This window comes from Homo sapiens, chromosome 5 (assembly GCF_000001405.40).
Source record: "Homo sapiens chromosome 5, GRCh38.p14 Primary Assembly".
In the NCBI taxonomy this organism is placed as follows: domain Eukaryota; kingdom Metazoa; phylum Chordata; class Mammalia; order Primates; family Hominidae; genus Homo; species Homo sapiens.
The window spans coordinates 102,276,302-102,304,001 of record NC_000005.10 but is presented as its reverse complement, the minus strand read 5'-3'; the positions used below and the strand labels follow the sequence as shown (position 1 = coordinate 102,304,001).

Sequence of the window (27,700 nt, the reverse complement as noted above, 5' to 3'; positions counted from 1 at the left end):
TATATTTTCAAAAATTATAGTGAGAAGAATGGAATGGTTTATCTCTTTAAAAAATCTTTTTAATTTCTATCTTAATAAAGGGTTTTTATGTTTTCTTTTTTGTGACACAACATGTCAGGTAGCCTCTGGAAAACTCCACTGCACACTTGTAAGAAAATGATTGTTTTGTTGTTTCTTAAAAATTTTTTTATTGCAGATACTACAGTGACTTATGTAAGAAAATGAGAGTCTAAAAGGCAAATAACATCTTAGTATTATTTTTAATATAGTTATGAACTTGCAGACCCCTTGAAAGTCTTAGTTGCCTTGGGGGTTCCTGGATCACATTTTGAGAACAATTGCTCTATTTATAAAGGAATTTTCTTTATATTGAGCCCATATTTTCCTTCTATATACAAGGCACTTGTACTAATCTTAAGATTCATAAAAAATAAGTCTGATAACTGTATTAAACGATGCCCCTACTCAAATATTTTACGAAAACTATCATGTTAACCACTACATATTTTCTTTAGGATAAAATTTCAAGTTATTTCAACTAATTTTCATATGACAAATTTCAATTTTTTTTCATTTTTACTACGTTATTATTGGACTTGCTCCCATTAGTCAATGGTTCTTTTAGTGCAACATTTATAATTCTATATAATATTTTGGGATAGTCTGAATGGCACAGATAGAGAGAAAAATATTAACCTGGATTCAATACTTTAATTAATGTCCTTCACATTTATTTATTTTTGACCTATGTTTTAATTTGCTGATGTTTAGATAAATCTCTCTTATCTTACAGTTTTGATTTAAGTTGATTTGTAAAAATTTTTTTAACCTATATCAGCTTGTTAGATATGAATCATGGTTTTAGCCTGTTTGGTCCTGATGCTCTTATACAAAGTATTTATAATATTTATGGCAGATACATTGCTATGTGTTGACCAAGTTATTTTATTTTCCTCCTGGCATACAGGACAACTACATAACCAACCCCTCTAATATCTTGGTAGGGCAAGGGACTAAGTTTTGGTCAGTGGCATATGGGCAAAAATACCATATGATATATTTCAGTGCTGGGCAGAAACATCTAGCATGAAGATCTTCACCCTGTCCCCAATTTACTTGCAGGGAGAAAATAACTCTGAAATGAGAGAATCAGAAAACGGGAGGAAGATGGATCCATGAATTCATAATTTGAAGGAAAACGTTCCAGGAGAGCCATTATTTATTGTTTTTACCACATGGGATTGTTTGATAGCCTGTCCTTGAGAGCTTGTTTGGAGGTCCTAGCAGGGAAGCACAGCTACTCCTATATTCTTGAGGGAAGACCCGCCCTCTTCTGCTAGAGATGGTTGTCCTCTTAGACCCAGGACACAGCTTCCAGAGCAACGCACATGGAGCGGTGAGGAGGGAAGGGGACACCCCCCTAGCCAGCCACATCAGCCAAATCAACCCTGATGATCAATGGGGTGAAAGATGTTGCAGCCAGATGGCCCTCACATTCTTGATAGCTTATCCTAATACATGTTCTCGGCATTTATTACAGTTCTTTCTCTATGTTGACACTAATGTGTTATTCAGTCATTGTTTTGTTATAGTCATTCAATCAAAAAGAATTATCTGTCTCAACTATACTAATAGTTACCATCAATTAACACACATTTATTTATCATAATCACAAGGATAAAAGGTAATTTGGGGTGGATACTATGATGAGGTCCAGATAAATGATGAGTAATTCTGGCACCATAGAATGAGTTGGAATCACTTCTGATTTTCTGAAAGAATTTGTTTAGAATTGGTATTAGTTCTTATATGCTTGGTAGAATTCACCACTTTTTCTTTATGGGAAGGTTTTAAACGGAAAGTTCAATTTCTTTAGTAGATAAAGTCTTGTTTAGATTCTATATTACCTCGAGAGATCTTTGTGATTTTTTTATAAGAAATTTGTCCATTTCATCTAACTATCAAATTTCTAGGCCATTTTTAGTGTAAGCATGATTTCCCACTTTCTTTTACTTTTAGTCTATTAACCTTTATATGTAAAATGTGTTGTTGTTGTTGTTGTTGTTTTGTAATGGAGTCTGGCTCTGTCATCCAGCTGGAGTGCAGTGGTGCCATATTGGCTCATTGCAACCTCAGCCTCCAGGGTTCATGCAATTTTCCTGCCTCAGACTCCTGAGTACCTGGGATTACGGGCATGTGCCACCACCCTGGCTAATTTTTGTATTTTTAGTAGAGACAAGGTTTCACCATGTTGGCCAGGCTGGTCTCAAACTCCTGACCTTAAGCAATCCACCCGCCTCAGCCTCCCAAAGTGCTGGAATTGCAGGTATGAGCCACTGTGCCTGGCCTAAAATGTGTTTCTTATTGGTAGTATTTAACTGGTTCTTGCATGTTATATCAGATCTGGCAATCCTTTCTGTTTAAATAAAATGTTTACAGTGTTTACATTTAGTGTGATTATTAATATGGTTAGGCCCAACTTATTGTCTTGCTGATTTTCTTTTTTTTCCAATACAGTTTTTGTTTCCTTTGTCCTCTTTCGCTGCCTTCTTTTGGATTACCTGAATATTTTCCATTACTCCACTTTATCTCCTTTTCTGACTGTTTTTTATTGTAGCCATTTTAGAGGTTTCTCTAAGGCTTATAGTATCAATCATTATCATATTCTACCTTTGATATTACATCACTTCACTTCTGAGACACACATATCACTTTCTGTAAAAGACATTTACAATAGCATACTTCTATTTCTCTTTTCCTGGCCTTTGCACTATTGTTGTCACACATTTTACCTTTACATATCTTATAAACCCTGTAATAGTTTATTATTATTTTTAAACAGTGAATTATCTTTTAAAGAGATGGAAATAATAAGAAAAAAATCTCACATATTTATCTATGCATCTTAAGCTCCATCTCCTCATTTCTGGTGCTCTTCATTCCTTCATATAGAAAAATATTTCTACCTGGTATCATTTTCCTTCTGCCTGAAGGACTTCTTTTTAACATTTCTTGGTTGTAGGTGCTTTTGGTTATTTCAGTTTTTTTTTCAATGTCTGAAAACTTCTTTATTCCACCTTCCTAAGGCCCTATGTGAGCAAGCACTAGCCACTATTCCTCTAATCCCTTAAGATGATTCTTTCCTTGGACTAGAACAGTTTCTTCACACCCACACGCTATCCAAATCTGCTGAATACAGGAGGGGACACTGCACATCCCTCTATACAGCTTTCTCCTTTTTGGTACTCTGCTTTGCAAATTCCAGTTGTCTTAGTGTTGTTGGACTTTCAGCTCTGTATCCTCAACTCGGAGAGTCTTCTGGGCCTTCTGTAATTTTTACACTAGTGTTTTACTATCTACTTTGTTTGCTTTCTTATAGGATTACTGTTTTAAATGTTGACATGTTTTTTTTTCAAATAATTATTATCAGCCATGTTTATGTATGTATTTCTTTTTCTTTCTTTCTTTTTTTTTTAAGCGATCAAGTCTTGCTGTGTCACCCAGGCTGGAGTGCAGTGGTGCAGTGGCGTGATCTTGGCTCACTGCAACCTCCCTCTCCCAGGTTCTAGCAATTCTGCTGCCTCAGCCTCCTGAGTAGCTGGGACTACAGGCACATGCCACCACTAATTTCTTGTATTTTAGTAGATACGGGTTTTCACCGTGTTGCCCCGGCTGGTCTCGAACTCCTGAGCTCAGGCAATCCTCCTGCCTTGGCCTCCCAAAATGCTGGGATTACAGGCATGGGCCACCGTGCCTGGCTTATGTATGTATTTCTTAATGATTTATGATGAATAAGATGAAAAGAAAAAGTACAGTTGCATTTCTTCTCAATATGATTATATATTTATGTGTAATTGCAATTTAAAACAGTATTAAAAACAATACAGTTCAGTGTTAATTTTTTTCTTAGATTTAACTTATTATTTTTAACTATATGTTTTGTGAAACATTTAAAACTGAAAAGATAAATCAATAATACTAAGATGGTCACTTAGATTGTCTGGTTGCTTTTATTCAGTTAATATAAGATGCTGTGATATTAATAAACCGTTAATACTAGGATTTGTAATTAACCTCAACGATATTCACATTTGACCATGTTTGTAATCAGCCACTGTCAAGATCCCTCTAATTTTAATATTCTATGAGCTCATAGTGTTATACTGCTAAAGGGTTCACATTTAGTCTAAAACCAGAAGGGAACTAATAAAGCATTAACAACACAGAGGGGAAAATGATAAAGTACTCAAGATAGGCATATCAATACATTTTCATCCAGTATACATATCTACATGGAAGGCCCAAATCATAAGATCGCTCTTAAGCATGGAATCAGAGCAAGGGGAGTTAGTAGGACAATCTTGATAACTTCTGTCATTAAGCCACTTCACCTTGTTTCATCCAATTCCTGAAAGGAAAGACCTACTGCACATCCCAGAGAATGATATCCAGAGGCAGGGACTGCTTCTGTTTACAGTGTGGGAGCCTTACCATAAATTTTGGACATTCTCTTTCTCCCATTCTCCACCCTTTAAAAACATAGCAAATAAAATGTACTATAAGAAGAGTAAAGTATCAATTACCTTCTGAAATTTAAGATGGTATATTTTGACTGTGTTCATTAGAGGCAGATTTAACCTAGATTGACCAAACAATTAATTTTAAAATGGACGTTTTTCCATAGAATTATCAGGGATGAAAACTAACAATTTTTCTTTCCTATTTTTGTTTTTTGGTTTTTGTTGCAAACCGAAGCCCCTTCCATCACTGCAGCATAAAGAATGTAAGGGAACAGGAAATTGAAACTTTCAGTAAGAGCAAGATGTATTTAAGATGAAGCAATAGTAATTTTGCTAATCTTTAACCAAAATTCTCTCTCTAACACTGTGAGAGTGGAGATTTCTCCTTAGTATGAATTTAAGTGCACGATGATTATGCTACTCTGATTTTGATAGTATAGCATGGATTTATTAAGTCACAGCTGCAAAATAGTCTTAAGCCATGATTGTATGTAATCACATCCCATCAAAACAAAATTTTCTGGTTGTGTAAATTACTTCGTATTCCATAGATAAAATGGTGATCAAAATAGTTACCTACTTTGAGTCCATTTTTGTAGAAAGCAAGCCCAGGAAGATTACATACCATGCTTAATTTGAATACCTCCAAAATCTAGGTTTTCAGAGCAGCATTAATCTTCTAAGCCTCACGAATATCACAGAATTTTGAATTTTGATCTCTTAAAATTGCTATGCAATAATTTAACCTGATGGAGATACACTGTAGTTATTAAAAGACAGAAAATGCAAAGTTTAGGGAAGACTTCTGGCTAAGAGAGCCGAGTTCAGATCCTTAAGTGGCAGTTCACTTATTAGCTATGTGACTTTGGGACAGTTACTAATTCTTTATGGGATATGGTTTCCTCAATATGTAAACTATATATAACAGTGCAGCTGCTTTTGTAAAGATTTTAATAATGGGGCATATAGCAGACATTTTAAATGTTAGCTCCTACTTCTACTCTTTCCCCATGTTTTAGGCCAATCTAGAATTTATTTTTATTTTTAATTCTTATTTTTTTGAGACAAGGTCTGGCTCTATGGCACAGCTGGAGTACTCATTGCAACCTCACCCTCCCAGGTTGTAAGCGACCCTCCCACCTCAGCCTCCCAAGTATCTGGAACTACAGGCGTGCACCACCATGCCAGGCTAAGTTTTGCATTTTTGGTAGAGACAGGGTTTTGTCGTGTTGCCCAGGCTGGTCTCAAACTCCTGGACTCAAGGCACCCACCTTGGCCTCCCAAAGTACTGGGATTACAGGCCTGCACCTCTGCGCCCGGCTGGCCAGTCTAGAGTTTTCTCGATTGTGAGGAAACAGGTAACAGAATGTACCTCTGTCCAAAGTAAGATACATATTTTATATCTGTCTCTCAACCCAGTAAACACAGCATATATAATTGAAACAAAAGTTTCACAAAATAGTATTTATCATATTATGTGCCATGTACTATGTATTATTACTGTCTGTTTCCTATTAAAACATAAGCACCATAAGGGTAGGGGTATTTGCCAGTCTTTGTTCACTTGTGTACCCCCAGAACTTAGAACAATGTTTGGCACCTAGGACACAAGAATTTTTTGTGTCTGTGTTAAGTGAAAGAATGAATGACTAAATTGTACCTACCATGACACAATGGTGTTAAGCTCTTCGAAGTGTTTTTCTTATTTATTCCACAGTTAGACATGTATTATTATTATTATTATTATTATTAAGAGACAGAGTTTCACTCTTTCACCCAGACTGGATTGAAGTGGCACAATCTCGGTTCACTGTACCCTCCACCTTCCGAGTTCAAATGATTCTCCTGCCTCAGCCTCCCAAGTAGCTGGGATTACAGGCCTGCACCACCACACCTGGCTAATTTTTGTATTTTTAGTAAAGACAGTGTTTCACCATGTTGGCCAGGCTAATCTTGAACTCCTGACCTCAGGTAATCCACCCGCCTCAGCCTCCCAAAGTGCTAGGATTACAGGCGTGAGCCACCGCGCCTGGCCCGGTAGAAATTATTTACATGATTGTCATCACTGTATATCTTACATATGCAATATACAGCAGAGAGACAATTTCTGGTCCTTCAGTTTCGGAGAAGGAAAAGCAAAGCAGTGGTTATGCTGTGATGTTCATCCTGGTGGTGATGGGGGTGGGGTGGGGTGGATTTCTTTTTCTAAGGAGGACTGAGGCAGGAAAATAGGGTCTGGAGGCAGGAAACATAAGGCCTATTCACACTTCAGCTGTAACAGGAAATATCCTCTCCATAGGGCGTAGGCCATAAATGACTTTGTAACTTTACTTCATCTTCTCCCTTTACATAGGGCATACCCAAAGTAACCAATGGAATCCTCTAGGGGGTATTTAAACTCCCCAAAATTCTGTAACCGGGCCTTTGAGCCCCTATGCTCGCCCGTTCCCACACTGTGGAGTGTACTTTCATTTTCAATAAACCCCTTCATTCCTTCCTTGCTTTGTTTGTGCGTTTTCTTCAATTCTTTCTTCAAGATGCCAAGAACCTGGACACCTTCTACCAGTAACAGGATGACAGGCAAGAGTCTTATCAAGATGCTCATGAACCAAAGTATACCTCTGACGTCTTGATTCTTGGAGTCCAAGCCTAGACTGCTTTGGTAAGCAGCAAAGGAAGAAAACGCAAGATAGTTTCCTGAACAATCTCCTGATGCAACTGTTTACAGGTTTCATGTCAGCACCCAAGGGGAGCTTATGGCCAGAGACTCCCACAGTCTCTGTGTGTTCCCAGTGCTTGGGCTCAAGGGAGGCGCGCTGCGGGCTGAAGGCTCAGGTCAGAACCGCAGGGGCTTGGGCGGAGGCGGACTCCGGTCGAAGGCTGTGGGGTGAGAACTCTCGCCCCCTCTACTCGGCCGCCGCCGGGTGGCACGCCCACGCCGCGCCTTCCGGTTGGTCCTTGAGGCGACGGGTGAGGCACAGCTGAGCGCCAAAGCCACAGGCTGGGGCGCTAACGCCCCCGCTCAGCGCTCTGCGCTCCAGACAGCTGCGAGCTGGAGTAGGAAGGTTCAGGCGGTGGCGGAGAGTGCGCTGGAGGCTGGAGGGCCAGGAGGCGGGAAGCTTCCCGCACGGGGGCGCTGTCACCTGCCTGTGGGAGGAGCCAGAGAGGGACCTGGCTCTGCTGCTCTGAAGCACCGGAGTCGGGAGAACCCATCCAGACATGAAGAGCGCCAAAGGTATTGAGAACTTGGCTTTTGTCCCCTCCAGCCCAGACATCCTGCGCCGCTTGTCTGCGTCGCCCTCCCAAATCGAAGTCTCTGCCTTGTCCTCTGACCCCCAAAGAGAGAATTCTCAGCCACAGGAGCTTCAGAAGCCCCAGGAGCCCCAGAAGTCACCAGAGCCATCTCTGCCTTCAGCCCCTCCCAATGTCTCCGAAGAGAAGCTCCGGTCACTGTCGCTGTCCGAGTTTGAGGAGGGGTCTTACGGCTGGAGGAACTTCCATCCTCAATGTCTCCAGCGCTGCAACACACCTGGAGGCTTTCTGCTTCACTACTGCCTCTTGGCCGTCACGCAAGGTAAAGTCCAGCGCCCGCTTGAGGCTCGGGCCAGTGGAGAGCGAGGTGGGCACGGCGAGCCAGCCGGGGGAGAGGGCAGGTGCGCGGGGTCCGTGGGACGGTGGACGCGCCCTGCAAGGTGGCCCCGGGTTTGGAACTTGCTTGCGCTCTCACCAAGGTCAACCTACCGGCCCCCAGCCAGCCTTCCAAAGTTCAGCTTCTCCTTTATCACTACAGTTCAAACTTGCAATACAAGCCTTTTTCTCTTTTGTGTTTTACCTCAGTTTAGCGGATTCAAGACTTACAGGGAAGATTACAAGAACCTTCCTTTGGGAAAGGTATACCCTGGGGAGTTTATTTTACATTATAAAGACAAAAATTTACCTAGGCACTCTTTAAAGGTATTTTACTTTTACATTTGTTTCATTGCCTCAGGGGAAGGAGTAATACGTTTGCAGGTGGGAGTGGGATGCCTTACAAGGAAGAAAGCTATGAAAAATCTATCGTATAAATTAGATACAGACATTCATGTTTTGTGAGTGTATTTAGTTTGAGAGTATGTGGTCACCAGAGGAGCCCAGTGAGTAAATTAGCAAAGGCTCCCGACGTTGTTGAGCCTTAATCTTCATTGTGTTACATTAGTTATCCAGCATCTGTTTTGTTCTAGGATCTCTTTTAGGTTCTCTTGGGAGTTACAGATTCAGTTCAGATTTATACCCTCAGGGGCTTGCAATCTAAGCTCAGTTTGGAGGAGTGATATCCTGGAGGGAGAACAGCTCCCTTGAAAGAAGGCACAGGGAAGGTTAAAGCTGCTTCTGGTGTGTTCAATACAGAGGTTGAAGGAAAATAGGAAGTTAACCTGAGTTGACTTTGAGGAAGGGTGGAGAAGAGGTGGAGAGGAGTCAAGAAGGACATGCCGAAGCTTAGCTGAATTGGAATGTAGATATTTTTTGGTCACTTGAGTCATAGTCCGAGAATATTTTCTGTATAATCAGTCAAGGATTAATTGGAAGAAATACAACCTTAGAAATATAGATTTTAGAGGGTTGGAAACAGCTCATTTTTTAAGTTAATAGAAAACTAAGTCAAAGCCTAAGTATACTTTTTGTTCTTATTCTTCCTCTTCAAGGAACCCAGGGCCCCTTGCTTTGCGCATTAGATGCTAAGTAACCATTTATTGATTGCAAGTCCGCTGCAGCTCTTCTACTGAAGGTAGATTTGTGTTGAAGAATTATTTCCCTGTCCACTTTTCTTGTCCCTACCAAAGTTCCCCTCCATTAATGTCTTGATCATAGTTTTACAAAATTGGTAATTGTGAAGCATCTCAGTGTCAAAGGAATGCGAAGATAAAAAAGTTGGACACAAGTAAAAAATGTCTTATCTTGTGTATTATCTTAAAATTCCTCTGAAATTTCTATATTATTCCAAAATATAACATTTTATATTTAATATAAAATATTGCCTAAAATTGTTATCAAATGTAATTGTCACTCCTAGAAAATTTGTCAGGTTTAGTCTGGAGCAGCATCTACCCAGAGGTCCCCAATTTAAGAAGCTTAATCTGAGATAATAGTGACCCAATAGGCTGGGCATGGTGGCTCACGCCTGTAATCCCAGCACTTTGGGAGGCCGAGGCGGGCGGATCAGTTGAGGTCAGAACTTGGATACCAGCCTGGCCAACATGGTGAAACCCGTCTCTACTAAAAATACAAAAAATTATGGCCGGGCGCCGTGGCTCACGCCTGTAATTGCAGCACTTTGGGAGGCTGAGGCAGGCAGATCAACTGAGGTCAGGAGTTCGAGACCAGCCTGGCCAACACGGTGAAACCCCGTCTCTACCAAAAATACAAAAACTAGTTGGGCATTGTGGCGCATGCCTGCAATCCCAGCTACTTGGAGGGCTGAGGTGGGAAAAACACTTGAACCCAGGAGGCGGAGTTTGAAGTGGACCGAGATCGTGTCATTGCACTCCGGCCTAGGCAACAGAGGGAAACTCTGTCTCAAAACAAAACAAAACACCACAAAAATTAGCCGGGTGCGGTGGCACACGCCTGTAGTCCCAGCTATTCAGGAGGCTGAGGCACGAGAATGGCTGGAACCCGGGAGGTGGAGGTTGCAGTGAGCCGAGATGGCGCCACTGCACTCCAGCCTGGTGACAGAGCGAGGCAAGGTCTCAAAAAAAAGTATAATAATAAAAAGTGTGACCCAATAAATTACTAGTTTACGTTTCAGTTTAAGTTTGAATGCCTGAAAACTTTATTGCCATGTTTCTCAAACATGATCCTTAAGATCATTTCCATGGTATATTTAAATATACATTTAATTGGAAAGAAAAACAAAATTTCTCGAATGAGTTTATTTAACCCAGCATTTCTCAAAGACAAACAGGGATTCTCTAAGTACTTAATTTTCTAATGTGCTTCCTATTGTCATTCATTTACAACAGAGAGATGTAGTATGGAGCGTTTCCTGATTTTTTTGTTTTTGTTTTTTTAAGTAGTGTTCTTGGAACTTGTATAGCATAGAATTCACTTTAAGAGTCATTGGATTAATGTGCTATCCTTCCTGAGGAGTTTACAAATTTTTTTTTCAAAGAGAAGTTTTACCATAAAGACAATTCTTTCTATTAACTAATTTTTAATCAGTATGGCAAGTGATAGGGAAGTTGATTTTATTGGATGCGGAAAATTTTGTATTATTAGATAACGTATAAAAATGTCATCCTAAGATACTTTAGGTACTTTATTTTGAAATCCTAAGAATTGTAAATTGGCTTATAGTCTTATGAAATGGGTATAAAAGTAAAAAATATGTCATGAGTTTTGAAACTTATTAAATTTGTTGAATTTATTTTTTTTGAAATATATTTTCAGCTACGGTCTTAATCAAAATTTAAAGAGATTTGTGGAGATCATGACTTGTATGTATATACTCATTCTGGTATTGAATGAAAACAATTTATCATACCTAAGTAAAAAGGATACCTAGTTAATTCAATCAGATGTTTTTTATTTTCAACTTATAGTAATGTTTAAACTCCTGTAAGTTTAATCTATATCTGGACTGTTAATGAATGAAAACAATTTATCATACCTAAGTAAAAGGAATCTCTAGTTAATTCAATCAGATTTTTAAAATTTTCAATTTATAGTTATGTTTAAAACTCCTGTAAGTTTAATCTATATCTGGACAGGACATTTTTAAGTAAGTCAAAATTTTCAGATTTTCAGTCTTACCTTGTTTACCTTCTATTCCTTCACTATAGTTATAATAAATATATGTTTTTTTCTTTTACTTTGCATACAATTTAGAATGCAAGTGGTTGAAAGACTTATGTTTACTTTTGCTCTAGAATCCTTTACATGGTAACTTTAATATCTGTAAGAATGTTAGAAAAATATAGGGGTTTGAGAGCTCAATTTCTTCTTCCTAAGACTAAATCAAGGTTATCTCTTTTTTTGGAGTTGGGGAGAGGAGGGAAGAGATAAAGTAATAGTCAAAGTTATCTCTTGTCATAGATAAATATGTTTAAGGATTGAATAATTTGGGAAGCAATTGAGCCTAACTGTAGTGGCCTATGGGGTCTCTTGTGCCTTTTGTAGTCTTCTGAGTGAGGTCCATGGGAGTATGATATATTAATACTTGGAAACTCTATCAAACTGGCTTCACGGGACTTTACCAGTTTGACTTCATCATTTAAAGAAAAATGAATTAAGGCTAGTTAACTATAATTTAGTACGTAGCAAGCATCAGTCTTGTTGGACACCTGAAAATTCACAAGTGTACAATTTAAAAAGCAAACTGGGCCAGGCGCGTTGGCTCACACCTGTAATCCCAGCACTTTGGGAGTCCGAGGCGGGTGGATCACCTGAGGTCAGGATTTCAAGACCAGCCTGGCCAACATGGTGAAACCCCATCTCTACTAACAAGATACAAAAAATTAGCCAGGTGTGGTGGTGCATGCGTGTAATCCCATCTACTCCAGAGCCTGAGGCAGGAGAATCACTTGAACCCTGGAGGTGGAGGTGGCGGTGAGCCGAGATCGCGCCATTGCAGTCCAGCCTGGGCAATGAAAGTGAAACTCTGTCTCAAAAAAATAAATAAATAAAATAAAAATAAAAAATAAATAAACAAAAATAAAAAGCAAACTGATTTTCAAGGAAATATGTTTAGGTTGCCTAACTTTGAAACTTTGAGGCTTTGAAAACTGGTACATTTTAAGAAAAAAAAGAAATGAATAATCAAACTCTACTTCATTGTGTTAATAATCTTAATCGTATGGTAAAATATTAATGATGCACATCAACTTTTCTGTTTTTTAGGTATTGTAGTTAATGGCCTAGTAAATATTAGCATTTCCACTGTTGAGAAGCGTTATGAAATGAAGAGTTCCCTGACTGGCCTGATTTCATCAAGCTACGATATTTCATTCTGTTTGTTGTCTTTATTTGTATCATTCTTTGGTGAAAGAGGACATAAGCCGAGATGGCTTGCATTTGCAGCCTTTATGATTGGACTGGGAGCACTTGTATTCTCATTGCCACAATTTTTCAGTGGAGAATATAAATTGGGGTCTCTTTTTGAAGGTAAGTTTCTATTGTGTTTATGTTTGTTTTAATCTGAAGAAGTGGATAAAACTAGGTCATTAACTTTATATTGCAATTCACTTACACAGTATGGTAAGGGTTTACATCTCTTCCACACCTCACTGGTTTGTTCATTGTGTGAACTGTATGAGATAGGAGATTAGAGAGACTGTACATTATTCATCGTTTCAGTGGTTCTCCAAGTTTTTAAGCCTCTAATTCTTATTCCCCATATTATACACAGTCCTCCTCAAGAAGAGATGACTTGTTTTCCTTTGCAGGTTGTGACCTCATTGGAGTTCTGAGATCTTTAGTTTTTCCCTTTTGTACTTTTATTTGCTGTGTTTACAGCTCTGCACCCTGGACATGTTGATTCCTGATTTGAGACAAAGAGAGGTGACATTTAGAAAAGTGGAAATTTTCCTAAGAAATGAAACTAGCTCTACTTTTGGACCTAGATAAGAAACATAGAACTTCAGAGCAACCTACAGTTGCTCTCGTTAGATGGAGAAATATATTATTCAAAGGCTCAGAAAGGAAATTTAATTATATACATATTTTTTCCCAATGACATTTTTAATAAAAAAACAAATATAGTAGAGCCAGAACGGTGGACAAATGAAAGTAGACCTTAACATTTTAATGTCCTTCCTGGGACTTCTAATAGCAAATATTGAAATAATTAGAAATAAAATCAGATGGTTATAAATTCAGAGGCTTTATTCACTTACTTAACCCCTGCAAATAAAAGACAAAGGATAATTGGAGTCTGTTATGCTATAGGAATTATTTTTAAGAAGTTAAGATTGTTAGATTTGTTTGTTAATATTGAAAATTAGTATTTGCTATAGTGTGGATGTTTGTCCCCCTAAACCTCATATTGGAGGGAGGTGTTTGGGTCATGGAGATGGATCATTCATGAATACATTAATGCCCTGGGAATGGGGTCAGTGAGTTCTGTTTGTTCCCAACAAAACTGTTTGTTAAAGAGAGTTTGAGCTAGGCGTGGGGGCTCACGCCTAAAATCATTTCGGAAGACTGAGGCAGAAGAATCCCTTGAGCTCAGGAGTTAGAGACCAGCCTGGGCAATATAGTGAGACTCTACAAACAAAAAAAGATTCTGGCCCCTCCCCTGTAGCTCTCTTGCTTCCTCTCTCCCCATGTGATCTCTGTGATCTCTGGCTAGCTGCCCTTTGCCTTCTGCCCTGAGTGGAAGCAGCTAGAGGCCCTCACTAGAAGCAGGTGCTGGCAGTATGTTCTTGTACAGTAGAACTGTGAGCCAAATCAATTTCTTTTCTATATAAATACCTCAGGTGTTCCTTTTTAGCAATGCAAATGGACTAAGACAATATTAAAGTATTAATCTTTCCCAAGATCAATTTTCCAATTCTAGAATGATAACAAACAGGAAAATATTCTCAATAACAAATTATATATTACACAGCATGGTTTTAGAAGTGCACTTATTAGGTAAGTAGGCTTCATTTTAGAAGTAAAAATAGAATATGTAAGCGGATGAATGGAGAGTATTTTTAAAATGTGGTAGAGTTTGGAATGAATAAGATAAGGAGAATAAGTTATCAGCAGAGAGAGCACTTACATAGATTCTAGCACATTATCTGAGATTGGACAAGACTGCACAAGGCAACTTGACATAATTTCACTGGGAATAGTTTTAGGAACAAGCCACATATTGCAGCGTAGGCTTTAGTATAACACTATTGAAATCTAAATCGTAAGGGAATATCTAAATTTTCATCTGCCACACAAGAAAACATAATACTGATTCTATGATAGTTATTTGTTCATAGCATTTAGGTGGTAATCTTTGTGCTGTTTCTGGGCCCTCAACCTTTCAGTTGCTCAGATGCCTTGCTTGTTCTTAAGTAAACAAACCTTGCTCGAAAATCTATGACTCTCTAAACTGAAACGTAAATACTTCTTCCAGTACAAAGCCTGATCTGTCTTCCACGATCTTCTCAGCTTCCTCTCTTGCCATTTATACCTGGAGTTATAGCCATTGTGAAGAACTTATTTTCCTAAAGGAAAATTGCCACAAATTAAGGTGTTTGTGTGTGACCAGAGGTGAAGCTAAGATTGCTGAAGCCAGATCATAAACTTTTAGTAGTGTACTGTGCAGGTTTTCACCAAGTTCTTATTGATCTAATTAACATTTTTCATTATTTTAGTAGATTATTGAAATAGGTTAGAGGAATTGGCTGATCTAAGATTTTTACTGTAAATTGACTCATAATTTAAATAATAGCTTAAATGTGGCAAATGAAAGCAAAAACTCAGCTTGCCCTCCTGTTATTCTGCCATTCATACAATATATATTTATTGATATGGACTACACATGGTGTTGAGATAACACCAGTAAAACAGTTCCATGCCATCTGGATTTTATGTACTAGTGGGAAGAAATATGCAATTAATAAACAAATGAACAAGATAATTGAAAATTGAGGTGAGTGGGTAAAGAGACAAATAGAATGAAGTAATACTGTGTTAAAGGTTAAGTATGATTGCCAGGAAAGGCTACAGTGATAATATCTGGATAGTGAAGAGCTAACCTTGAAAGATAATTTCCAGGCTGGAGAAAAATATGGTTAAGGGCTTTGGAGCAGAGGAGGGCTTGGTAGGTTTTAGGAATAGTCCGTTTTGGTCAGCATTGTCAAAGCAAGGGAGGCTGTTTTGGAGAGGCAGGTAGACACTAGGGAGGCATTTAGATTGTGCTTGAAATGCAATGCAAAGTTGTGGAAGAGTTTTATACAGGGAAGTGCATGATCTTACTGGAGTTTAAGAGACAAGAGTAAATGGGAGCCAATCACTCTGGAAATTTTTATTGTAGTCCAGGTGGGAGATAAATGTGGCTGAGACTGGGGTGGTAGCAGCAGAGATCCAGAAGATGAATGATTCTCAGTGTGTTTTATAGGAAAAAGAAATAGGACTCTGTTGGATATATTGTGAAGGAGGAATGAAGGAGTCCTTGGTATTTGGCTTGATCAGCTGGGGCCGTTTTTACTAGAAGGTGGAAGACTAGGTAGAACAGAATTAGAATGAAATTAAGAATTCGGGTTTGGAGTTTTTTAGTATGAACTGCATATTATATATCCAGTGTTGCAGTGTATATCCCCAAAATACGTGTTTACATAAATGTGCAAGTCATTCACTTGGTTTGATTCCTAGAAGTGCAAATACTGAATTTGAAGGCCTTCCTCATTCTAGTTTTTGATAGATAATGTCACACTGACTTTCAGGAAGGGATATATTAGTTACTCTCCCATTGTTGGTGAATGAAAATGCATCACTGTTGTGTTGAATTTTTGCATTTTTTTCCCCTGTGATTTTTCTTAACAGAAGTGTCATTGTGGTATGTGTAGGTGTTTATAATATGACAGACACAAAATTCAGGATTGAAATTGCATTACACATTTAAAGGAATTCAGACATTTAGAAACGGAAGGGATGTTAGAAATGATAAAACCTGGCCGGGCGCAATGACTCATGCCTGTAATCCCAGCACTTTTGGAGGCCAAGGTGGGCGGATCACAAGGTCAGGAGTTCGAAACCAGCCTGGCCAACACAGTGAAACCCCGTCTCTACTAAAAATACAAAAAGAAAAAAAAAATTAGCCATGTGTGGTGGCATATGCCTGTAGTCCCAGCTACTTGGGAGCCTGAGGCAGGAGAAATGCTTGAAGCAGGGAGGCCGAGGTTGCAGTGAGCTGAAACCGTACCATTGCACTCCATCCAGCCTGGGTGACAGAGCAGAGACTCCATCTCAAAAAAAAAAAAAAAAAAAAAAAGAAGTGAAAAAACCTCTTCTTTTTATAGTGTAAGCCTTAGGGCAAGAGGTGAATTGATTTCACAGATGGTTAACAACAACTAAAACTAATCCTAATTTTTATGGTTTGTTTATTGTTTTTCAAAAGTGTATGCTTATTACTCATACTAAGTTATTAACTATATTGAATGATTTTAATATTTTTTATGAATTTCAAGCATTTCTTCCCCAACTTCTAGTAGTCAGGTACAGTGGTCTATATTAATCTACTTTTGCAAGTATGGGAATCTATAACGAAAAATCTGAATTATTTGTCAAACTTTAGGGAGAGTAGAGAAGAAAACTTAGGAAAAGGAAACTGCAAAAAGAAAACAGATTAGTTGAAAGCTTCCTGTAAATTAATTAGAGGCAAGGGGATGTGTAATCTTCTTAAGTAACTTAACATAACATAGAGCATAATATTAATAAATGATTTTATTAATTGAAATTATACATGTAATTTAATTTAAGATGGACAGTGAGGAAATTAACATACCCTTCTGTGCTTTTTCTGTTGTTCTTAAGGGAAATCAAAATCAGGGCTCACTTTGGATGGGATAATCTCTGTAAGAGGAAACTAAAGTAATATAGCTAGTAAGTAGAAAAAAACATAAAATATGATAAACATGTATGATTTCTACAGGTGTGAGAATAACACAAAAGAACGTTAAGAACAAAAGTTAAGAAGATATATTTTGAAACAGCGTGGACTTTCTATTGTGTTGTAAACAATAAATTTAAGTAGGTTGGAGAGAAAGTGTTTTTTTAAGGGAAGCTTTTAGAAAGACATAAGCATTAGAGGTGATTAACTTTGAATGGAGATGATCAAAGGGAAGTTGTGGTTGTTACTGGACTAAAAAAAGAGGTAGTATTAAAATTAAGAGGAACAAATACATGCTATTAAGGGCTAATTTTTTGTACAAGTTAACCCAAACATAGTGTCAAAACACTTTTAAATAAGTCATATTTGACATTCATTTTGACTTACTTCAACATAATATTAATATGACACAACATATTGTAGTATGACTTTAAAATATTTAAAATGCGATAAGTAAATCTTTACCACGTAACATTTTTTTCATCTAAGCAATCTTAATTTCTTTTAGATGAGTGTTATTTTAATGTTACCATGCAAAATAATCTTTATGTCTCTTTGAGACTTTGGGAGAGAGGCATTATTAAATACTGAGGAATTGTAGAAAAGTAGTTACTTAGCCTAGTAAAGCTCTTTTTATTTATTGACCAATAATTAGATAATTTTTCCTACGTTGCACTATATCTTTGTTTCTCTTTTCCATCTCCTTTCCCTCAAAGAAACCTTAAATGATAAAAATTCACATTAGCTGTAGCACTAAATTTCTAATTTTTTTTTTATTGGCATTTGAGAGAGAATGCTTCATCAAAGGACTTTGGTTATGCTTGGTAACTACTTACAAAAGCTGTGCTAGGAAAATGATTACAGTAGGACTCAAAGTGGACTTTACTTCTGGTTACTATTTTATCTTTTTTTCTTAGAATACTTTTTTCTTTAATGGAATGCTTGCCTAGATTTGAGAAGACCTAGGGCAAAGAATTTTAGAGGTTTTCAAGCACAAATTCAATACAGGAAGCTTTAATTTTGCTTGGCCTCTGAGTGTTTTTCCTTTTTTGATATTATTTTTTACTTTACGGAAGTCACTTATTTTTCTTAAATTTTACTTCTTTGTAACTGAAATGAATAAAGGAGTAATAAGAAGAGGTGATTTTTTTAGATTAGAAGCTATAATGGTGTAATAAAACAAATGATTCAATTTTAAATTTAATACATACAGTAAAAGGCCTAGAGCTACCTTTTAGCAATAGTTAATGCTCTAGATAAAACTATCACAATTTTTTATATCAGAGGCTTTTCAGTCTTTCTCATACTTCCTAGATAATATGAATTACCCTGAGCCAGGCTCAATGGCTCACACCTGTAATCCCAGCACTTTGGGAGGCTGAGGTGGGTGGATTACTTGAGGCCAGGAGTTTGAGACCAGCCTGGCCAACATGGTGAAACCCTGTCCCTACTAAAAACACAAAAATTAGCCGGGCATGGTGGCAGGCACCTGTAATCCCAGATACTTGGGAGGCTGAGGCAGGAGAATCACTTGAACCCAGGAGGCGGAGGTTGCAGGGAGCTGAGATCGGGACACTGCACTCCAGCCTGGGCAACAGTGTGAGACTTCGTCTCAAAAACAAACAAACAAAAAAAAATATATATGTGTGTGTGTGTGTATATATGTGTGTATATATTTGTGTGTGTGTGTGTGTGTGTGTGTGTATGTATATATATGAATTATCCTGGATGGTTGCTATTCCTGTTTAATACTGCCTCTTGGAAATCCTGATTCAGTAAGTTTGGAGTAGGACTCAATCAATATTTTTAAAAAATTACCCAGGTTATCTTAGTCTAATTTAGGACATACATGTCCATTTTAGTGTCTGATTACTTTGTAAAGCTTCTAACTGTGGATATAGAGAGAAAGGTTTCTTTTCCTTTCCAGATTATTGCTTTATGTCTTCCTTTAAAATAGGAGTTTCACAATCATCATGAAATGCTAGGTGCTCTAATGCAGCCAGTTTTGTTGAAATGCAAATGACCAAACTTCTGAAATAGAGGAAACTTACAGAGAAAAATAAGTAGGAAAAAAATGTGTCAATGAAATTTTAGCACAAACTCATTCTCATTACAAGCTATAGTTTGCTGGTAGGTAGAGGTTTAAAAAATCCATGTCCTTTAGCAAGAGAAAAACATGTCCAAACATTTCTGAAAGTACTATCTGCAGAGAACAGTTTCTAGAGGCATTAGGAATATGTTAAAAATGTGTTCAATGGTTGAATGAGTTTGGAAAAAAAAAAAAGAAGAACGCTAAGCAGTTGTCTTTATTGCAGCACTATAAAGCAAATGCATTCTGTGAATCTTTAGTTAGGGGTATGATATGTAGAGTTGATGAAGAGGCTCCGTTGTTATACTTGTCCCCTTCATCCTGCTTTCGCCCCTTACTTTGTCTTCCTCTAGGTAAATGAGGCAGTGAACACACTTTGGTAAAATCTGCTCTATCTGCTTTAGGTTTAACTATGTGAATTTGAAAGCCCTTGTTGAGTTTAGAAACTTTATTATGATCAGCACCTAGAACAGCATGTGATATAGACTAGGTCCTTAAGAACTATTTGTTGAGTTGTCACATATATTAATGAATGGAGTCCTTTGATGAGGTATATTAAGAGCCTAATGCCTTGTCCTTCCACAGAAGACAGTAAGAGTAGGTAATGGCAGATAAAGGCAATTTGGGATTCTCTGTCCACATTTTCCATAAACTTGGGCTAAAAAAATAGGGTAACATTTAAAGAGAATTTTCTCTTTCTCTCTCTTCTTCATCATATTTTTTTCTGGCGACCGAATTAGGACAAATTATGTTGTTAGAGGCAAAAATTATTTTCCGTAATCTTTTTGAGTAAGATTTGAGATCTGAAAAATTTGCAGTGTGAAAAGGAAGCTAAAATGAGAAGCATATTCAGAAATAGTAGCAGAATGCTTTGATATTCTACTTTTGGTTTTTGTCTTAATGACTTGCTAAGATGTTGATTTCACTTCAGTGCTTCTAAGAAAATTCTCTTTTAATGTTCCATTTTTTTAGCCCAAGTTTATGGAAAATGTGGACAGAGAATCCCAAATTGCCTTTATCTGCCATTACCTACTCTTACTGTCTTCTGTGGAAGGACAAGGCATTAGGCTCTTAATGTTAAAATGTTAGCAATTCTCTTTTCATGGACTTTTAAAAATCTTAATATATAAAATGAAGTGCTCTGATAGGGCATTCAAGTGGCCATAGGCGTAGTTGTGTCTAACCAGATATATTGTGTGGAAGGTAATGATTAAGCAATGTCTTTTTTTTTTTTTTTTTGTAGCTTCCTTAGAAAGGTTGGTGGTTTGTGGCAGGAAATAAATGAGGAAATTCTATTTTCTTAGTCACTATTCTTAAAAACGCACAAATTTGCCAGTGTGTGTTTTAATATATTTTTTCTGTTTCATTTTAATGCTATTAGTTCATCCTATTTAATGAAAGTATTCAGCACTTTAGCAGAGATATGAGAGTCAGAAATAAGTGAGTTTAAGTTTTTGCTCACACACTGTGATAGAACTACAGTGATCCTGGAGATAAGTTTCTTTGACTATAAATTATGTTGATAATAATCAATACCACATAGAAGAGTATACATATGTGGTGATAAGGCAGTGCCTGGTGTGTGGTGAGTGCTCATTAAATAGTAGCAATGAATAATAAAGTCTTTTTTTTTTTGTGGATGTCACTTGGTGTTGACATATCCCCAAAGTCTGACCAAACACTTTTGAACTAGTACATTAGAAAGGGTTTTAATTAGATATATTTCTAAGATCATATTGTTACGAGATAAGAAAATAATTCATTTGGTGTAGCTCAGCTTAATTGGGTCCACTTAGAATAACACATTAAAATATTGCCTTTTAAATAGCCAAGTTGCCATTTGAAAATATCTTGAATTTTTTGACTTTGAACATGATATGTACTTTGTAAAATGTTCAGAAAATAGGAACACACAAACAAAAATGGAATAAAGAAAGAAAGAAAGAGTTTTCATGGTAACACACCTTGGTTATTCACCGTTAACACTGTTCAGTCTTTTAAAAATGTATATACACATTCATACGTATATTGTCATACATAAACTACACTACACAGTCATTAACACACATTCATGCACACATTCACACTCACATAATTTTATTAACATTCACACATCTTTACATCACATTCTCACAAACACATTCAAAATCCTTGTTTGAAGGAAACAAGATTTTTAATCTAGGAACGTTGACTTCTTTTTACTTGGAAGATGTGTTGGACACATTTTATATTAGTAAAGATGGAGTTGCAGAATCTTTTTGCTTTTCTATTATTTCATTTTATAAATGACTTATTTAACCAACCCTCCTTTGTTATATTTTTTATTAATACATTTAATTTTTCTGGTTAGAGAGGTTCTATGGGTCATGCAGACAATTTGGGTAATACTAAGAAGTGGAAAGAGAAAAAAACTCAATTCACTGTTTTTCTTTTCTCAAGGAAAACAGCTTCGGAATTGTCGTACTGTTTTTCTGTGCCTATTTTTAATACAGTTAATAAAATATGTTGCAACCTGTGAGCATTTTCTTGCATAGCATTCTGTTTTACATTTTAAACATTCTCATAGAACTGAATTTTTACATATAAAAAGTTTTTTATTATAAATTAACTCATGATGAACATTTCTATGTTTAAAGGTTTTACTATATTTCAATAATTATACGGTATATAATATTTTGGAATTGACTTTTTTTAGTCTGAGTAATTTTCTGAATACTCATCATGTTGTTGTACATATCAATTGTTCTGTTCTTTCTACTGCTGATTAGTAATCCATGGTATGGATGTACCATAGTTTGTTTAACCATTTGCCTATTAAAGAACATCTGGTTTGTTCCCAGATTTTGGTTATTACAAATAAAGCTACAAACATTAGTGTGCAGATTTTTGTGTGAACATAGTTTTCATTTTTCTGGAATAGATGCCCAGGAGTAAAACTGCTGGGTCATATGAAAATTCTATGTTTAGTTTTTTGAGAAACTGCCAAACTGTTTTCCAGATTCACTGTATCACTTTATATTCCCATCAGCAATGTATGAGTGACTCGGTTTATTTGAATCCTTGCCAGCATTTGGTGTAGCCATTCTAATAGGTGTACAGTGAAATCTCGTTGTGTTTTAATTTGTATTTCTTTAATGGCTGATAACATTGAGCATCTTTGCTTGTGTGAATTTGCTATCTGCATATCATCTTTGGTGAAATGTCTTTTCATGTCTTTGGATATTTGTTTCTTTACTGTTGAGTTTAGAGAGACATTTATGTTTTCCGAGTACTAGGTCTTGTCACATGCTAGTTTGCAAATATTTTCATCCAGTCTGTAGCATGTCTTTTCATCCTCTTAACAGGGTCTTTCAGAGAGTGAAAATTTTCAATTTAAATAAAGTCGAATTTATCAGTTTTTTCCTTTTATAGATTATGCTTTTATTGTGAAGACTAAAAACCCTTTGCCTAGCTCTGATCCCTAAGATTTTCTTCTATTTTTAAAAAAAGTTTTATAGTTTTCTATTTTACATTTAAGTCTGTGATATATTTTGAGTTAATTTGTATAAAAGATGTGAGGTTTAAAGTTTGATTTTTGTTTATAAGTGTCCATTTGCTCTAGCTCCATTTGAAAAGTCTGTCCTTCAACCATTGAATTACTTTTGTAGCTTTTCAAAAATCAGTTGGGCATATTTGTATAGCTATATTTCTGGGATCTCTACTCTGCTCCATTGATATATGTATCACTTCACCAATATCACATTCTTGACTATTATACTTATATAAGTCTTGAAATCCTATAGACATTGCTCTCACTTCATTGTTATTTTTCCATATTGGTTTGCCTCATTCCTTTTTATTTCTATATAAATTTTAGAATAATCTTGTCTATATCTACAAAATATCGTAATAGGATTTTGAGAGGAATTGTATTAAACCTTGATATGGTTTGGTTTTGTGTCCCCACTCAAATCTCATCTCAAATTCTAATCCCCATGATCCCCACATGTCAAGGGAGGGACCTGGTGGGAGGTTATTTGATCATGGGGGTGGTTTCCCCCATGCTGTTCTCCTGATAGTGAGTGAGTTCTCATGAGAGCTGATGGTTTTATAAGTGTTTGACAGTTCTTCCTTCACATGCTCTCTCGCCTGCGACCATGTAAGATGTACCTGCTTCCCCTTCAGCCGTGATTGTAAGTTTCCTGAGGCCTAAATTTTTTTCTTTATAAATTACCCAGTTTCAGGTAGTATCTTTATAGCAGTGTGAAAATGAACTAATACAACCTGTATATTAATTGGGATATTAATTGGGATTAAACTGATATAGTTACTATGTTGGGTCTTCCAATCCATGAATATATATGGATTTATACTCCATTTATTTAGATTTTCTTTAATTTTTTTCATCAGTATTTTATATTTTTAGCATGCAAGTTATGTATATATATTTTGTTAGATTAACATCTAAGTATTTCTTTTTGCTTTTTTTTGAATGATTGTAAATAGTACTGTATTTTAAATTTCAGTTTCCATATGTTCATTGCCAGTATATGGAAATACGGTAGATTTTTGTATGTTTTATTGTGTATTCTGCAATGTTACTGAATTAATTGGTTCTTGATATTATTTTGTGGATTCCTTGGTGTATTCTATGTAGACAGTCATGTTTTCTGCACATAGGAACAGTTTTATTACTTCCTGTACCTTCTGTATGGCACTAATTTTCTTTCTCTTTTTTTTTTTTTTTTTTTTTTTTTTGCCTTATTGCACTGGTTAGAACTTCCAGTACTATTTTGAGTAAGAATGGTGAGAGTGATTGTTCTTACCTTCTTCCCTATATTAGGCAAGAAAGCTTTCAGTCTTTCACTACTGCTGCATGTTTTTATAAATACTCTTTATCAAGTTGGGAAAGTTCTACTCTATTCCTCTTTTTCTGAGAATTTTTATCAGGAATCATTGTTGAATGTTGCCAAACACTTGTTCTGCATCAATTGTTCATGTGATTTCTGATCATGTGATCATGATCATGCGATTTTTTTCTTCTTCAATCTGTTAATACAGTAGTTAACATTTTTTGATTTTTTTGATGCCAGCCTTGCATCCCAGAATAAACCTCACCTGGCAATGGTGTACAATTCTTTGGATATATTTGTGAATTCTGTTTGGTACTATTTTGTTAAGCATTTTTGTGTCTATATTCATAAGGGATATTAGTTTTTATTTTCTTTTATGTACTGTCTCTATTTGGCTTTGTAGTTTTTGTGGATTTTAGGGGATTATAAACTTCATACAATAAATTGAGAAATGTTCCTCCTCTACTATTTTCTGAAATTGATTTTAATTTTTCTTTATATGTTTGTTAGAATTCTGCAAGTGAAACTATTTGAGCCTATAGATTTCTGTTTGGGGAGTTTCTTAATTAAAAAAGTTAATACTCTTAATAGTTATCTTTAATAGTAATTCAAATCTATTAGGTTGGTGCAAGAGTAATTGTGATTTTTGTCATTACTTTTAATGGCAAAAACTGCAGTTACTTCTGCACCAACCTTATACTTCGTTTTGGGTGAGTAGATATAATTTATGCTTTTTATGTAATTGACCCATTTCATCTAAGTTGTCAAATTTATGTATATAAAGCTAACTGTTCCTAGTATTTATTTATTATATTTTCTTTGTCTGCTGGATCTGTTGTGAAATCCTTTGCTTGATTCCTGATATTGATAGTATTTGTCTACTTTTTCTTATTCTTTGTCAGTCTTGCTAGATGTAGCCAATTAAATTCATCTTTTCAGAAAATGAACTTTTAGTTTCATTGATTTTTCTCTATAGTTTTCTATTTTCCAATTTATTGATTTCTGCTCTTTATTTTCTTCCTTCTACTTATTTTAAATTTATTCTATTATTATTTTTCTCTAGGTGGGTGACATGGAAGCTTAGATTATTGATTTTATTTTTATTTTTTCTAATGTATGCATTTTAGTGCTATAAAATTTTCTTTCAGTACTGCTTGAGTTGTATTTCACTATTGTTATATATTGTGTTTTCATTTTTACTTAATTCAGTGAATTTTTTTATTTCCTTAGAGACTTCCTTTTTGACCCATAGATTATTTGAAAGTGTGAGAGCATGTTGTTTAGTTTCCAATATTTGGAGATATTTTTGTTATCATTTTGTTAATGATGTTTCATTAGATTCCATTGTAGTCAGAAAACATACTATGTAGGATTTGAATTTTTAAAAATTTATTAAGGTTTACTCTATGGCGCAGGATGTGATCTGCCTTGGCATATGTTCTGTGGGCGTTTGAAAAGAAAATGTATTTTGCTATTGTTTGGCAGAGTGCTTAAAAAATGTTGGTTAGATCCTGTTGGTAGATGTGGTTGATAAGTTAGTTTATATCCTTGCTAATTTTCTGTTCTATCAGTTGCTCAGAGAGGGGTTTTGAAATCTTTTATTGTAATTGTGGGTTTGTCTGTTCCTCCTTTCATTCTATAAATTTCTGCTTCATGTTTTACAGCTCTATGATGGTGAAAACATGTTACTCTTCTTGGTAAATTGACTATTTTTTCATTATGTAATGTCTCTCTGTGTCAAGTAAATTTTTTTGCTCTAAAGTCAGTTTCAGCTGATATTAATATGGCTACTCCTACATTATTTTGATTAATGCTTGGATGATATGTTTTTTCCCCCAATCTTTAAATTTCAGCCTGCCCACATTACTGCATTTGAAGTGAATTTCTTGTAGATGGCATAGTTGGGTTGTTTTTTTTATTCACTATGTCAATATCCTTTAATTGTAATATTCAGACCATTTACATGTAATGTAAATACTAGTATGTTAAAGTTTAAACCTGTACTTTTAATATTTTGTTTTGTGTTTGTTCTTTGTTTTTTGTTTCTCTATTATCTGCTTCTTGCTTTCCTGAATGTGAGTTGCTTGAACAGTTTTAGAATTCCATTTTGATTTATCTGTAGTGTTTTGAGTATATTTCTTTGTATAACTTTTTGAGTGTTTTTTTCTAGGTACTGCATTACATGTATGTAAGTATAGTCTTTGTATTATATTATTAGACTCTGGTTCTTATTTAAATCTTCTGTCTTAACTACTTGACGCTGTTCTGATGGCTTTGAGGTGGGGGTGGGTGAGGCCTTATTTGCCGAGTGGCATCGAAGTCCAAGTTCACCTCTTGGCCTCAATTGACACCTAGTAGGAAGACAGGCTCCTTGTTACTGTTGGGTGGTGGTGGCAGTCCTGGATCTCCACTAGAACTCCACTGATATCATTCTCTCTGGGAATGGTAGAAGTGACTTGCTACTCTTCTACTGACACCACAGAGAAGAAGTATGGCCTAATTCCAACTAGACTACAGTGTAAGTTCTGACTCTTCACTAGGCTTCCTCTTGTACTAGCAGAGAGGGAGTGGGGGTGCTTCTGTTGCTACATAGAGCTGGAAACCCAGGCTACCAGTGTAGATTTCACTGGCACGAGGGGTGAGGATCATTACCTCTTGATGGAGGTAGAAGTCCCGGATCCCTTCTCATCCTTCTCTGACACCACCCTGGAAGGGGGATGGGGCACCTTGTTACACCATATATTGCAGGGGTGAGTGTGGGTGAGATTGCAGTTTTTCTCTGTGGTATTTGACTAGAGTAGCATGTTTACTGTATAATTTTTCTGCCTTGCCAAGCTGCTTCTTTCTTGATCTTTTGGCTAGAATGATGATAATTTTCTTGTGCCTCTTTTTTTTGTTTTGTATGCAGCCTTTGGCATTTGTGGGTTGCTAACTTATTCAGCTGAAAATCTGGGATAGATTAAGCAAAAATAAAACCCAGGAAACTCACCACTATGTTCGTTGGGTACTGTCTAGGGAACTAAGGAGCGGCAATGGATTGGTGCCTCTCACTACTATAGCTAATAATCCACTTAATGGAATTCTTACACCCTGCCTTGTTGAATTCTAGTACCCAAGGGATTTAAGTTTCCATCAAGGCACACAGTCATTATTCCCTTAAATCCAAAGCTTAACAATAACTGTTCGCTAATCCTTTTTGATCTCTTCATAGTAAATATTCAACAGGGAGAGTTCACTAAATTGACAGAGCTAATGGATCCTAGTTACCAAGGGAAAATTGAGTTGTTCCTTTCCAGTTGCAAGGAACAGTATATTTTTGGACTGCAAGATTCACTTAGGTGCCGCTTAACACTCCTATACCCAATAGTACTTGTTAAAAGAAAACTTCAGTAACTCAATAGGGAAAGAAGAGCTGGAGACTTGTAAAAGACGGTAAAATACCTGACTAGTTAAGGTATAGGCAGTGGTAAAGGGAACAAGAACTGCATGATAGAAGGAAGCTATGCTTGTCAGTTGGGCCCTCTGACCAACTATAGAAAGAGAACTATGGAGCTGGTTAATTGTCGCCCTGCTCTTGTTTTCGTCTGCCACCTTCGATGCAGACCACCGCTGGGGCTAACACTTCAGTGTTGCTTTCAGGTGGGAGAATAACTGAATGCATGTTATCTCATGATGATATTTTGCAGATAGCTTT

At 36.4% G+C, this 27,700-nt stretch overlaps 1 protein-coding gene and 1 pseudogene across 4 annotated transcripts in view, besides 2 other annotated features; one reads left to right on the top strand and one right to left on the bottom strand.

The window, feature by feature from the left end:
• Nucleotides 1,192-1,498, bottom strand: RN7SKP68 (RN7SK pseudogene 68; annotated as a pseudogene).
• Nucleotides 7,718-27,700, top strand: part of SLCO4C1 (solute carrier organic anion transporter family member 4C1) — a 62,299-nt gene continuing 42,316 nt past the window's right edge. The window contains exons 1-4 of one of the 4 annotated variants that reach the window (XM_047417146.1): nt 7,718-8,094; nt 8,358-8,411; nt 9,203-9,285; nt 12,396-12,659. In XM_047417146.1, coding sequence (XP_047273102.1) covers nt 12,455-12,659 — 205 coding nt within the window. In that variant the 5' untranslated portion in view covers nt 7,718-8,094; nt 8,358-8,411; nt 9,203-9,285; nt 12,396-12,454. Of the gene's footprint in view, nt 8,095-8,357; nt 8,475-9,202; nt 9,286-12,395; nt 12,660-27,700 lie in introns of all 4 variants that reach the window. The other 3 variants (XM_011543372.2, NM_180991.5, XM_011543370.3) reach the window with 3 other exon arrangements.
• Nucleotides 7,753-7,952: an enhancer, noted in NCBI's record as "active region_22853". NCBI's record gives its function as "activates an Ori minimal core promoter by ATAC-STARR-seq in GM12878 lymphoblastoid cells {active_cell/tissue: GM12878}" and the evidence as "EXISTENCE:reporter gene assay evidence [ECO:0000049][PMID:35858748]".
• Nucleotides 13,740-13,940: a silencer, noted in NCBI's record as "peak5379 fragment used in MPRA reporter construct". NCBI's record gives its function as "represses an SCP1 promoter by STARR-seq MPRAs in K562 erythroleukemia cells {active_cell/tissue: K562}" and the evidence as "EXISTENCE:reporter gene assay evidence [ECO:0000049][PMID:32103011]".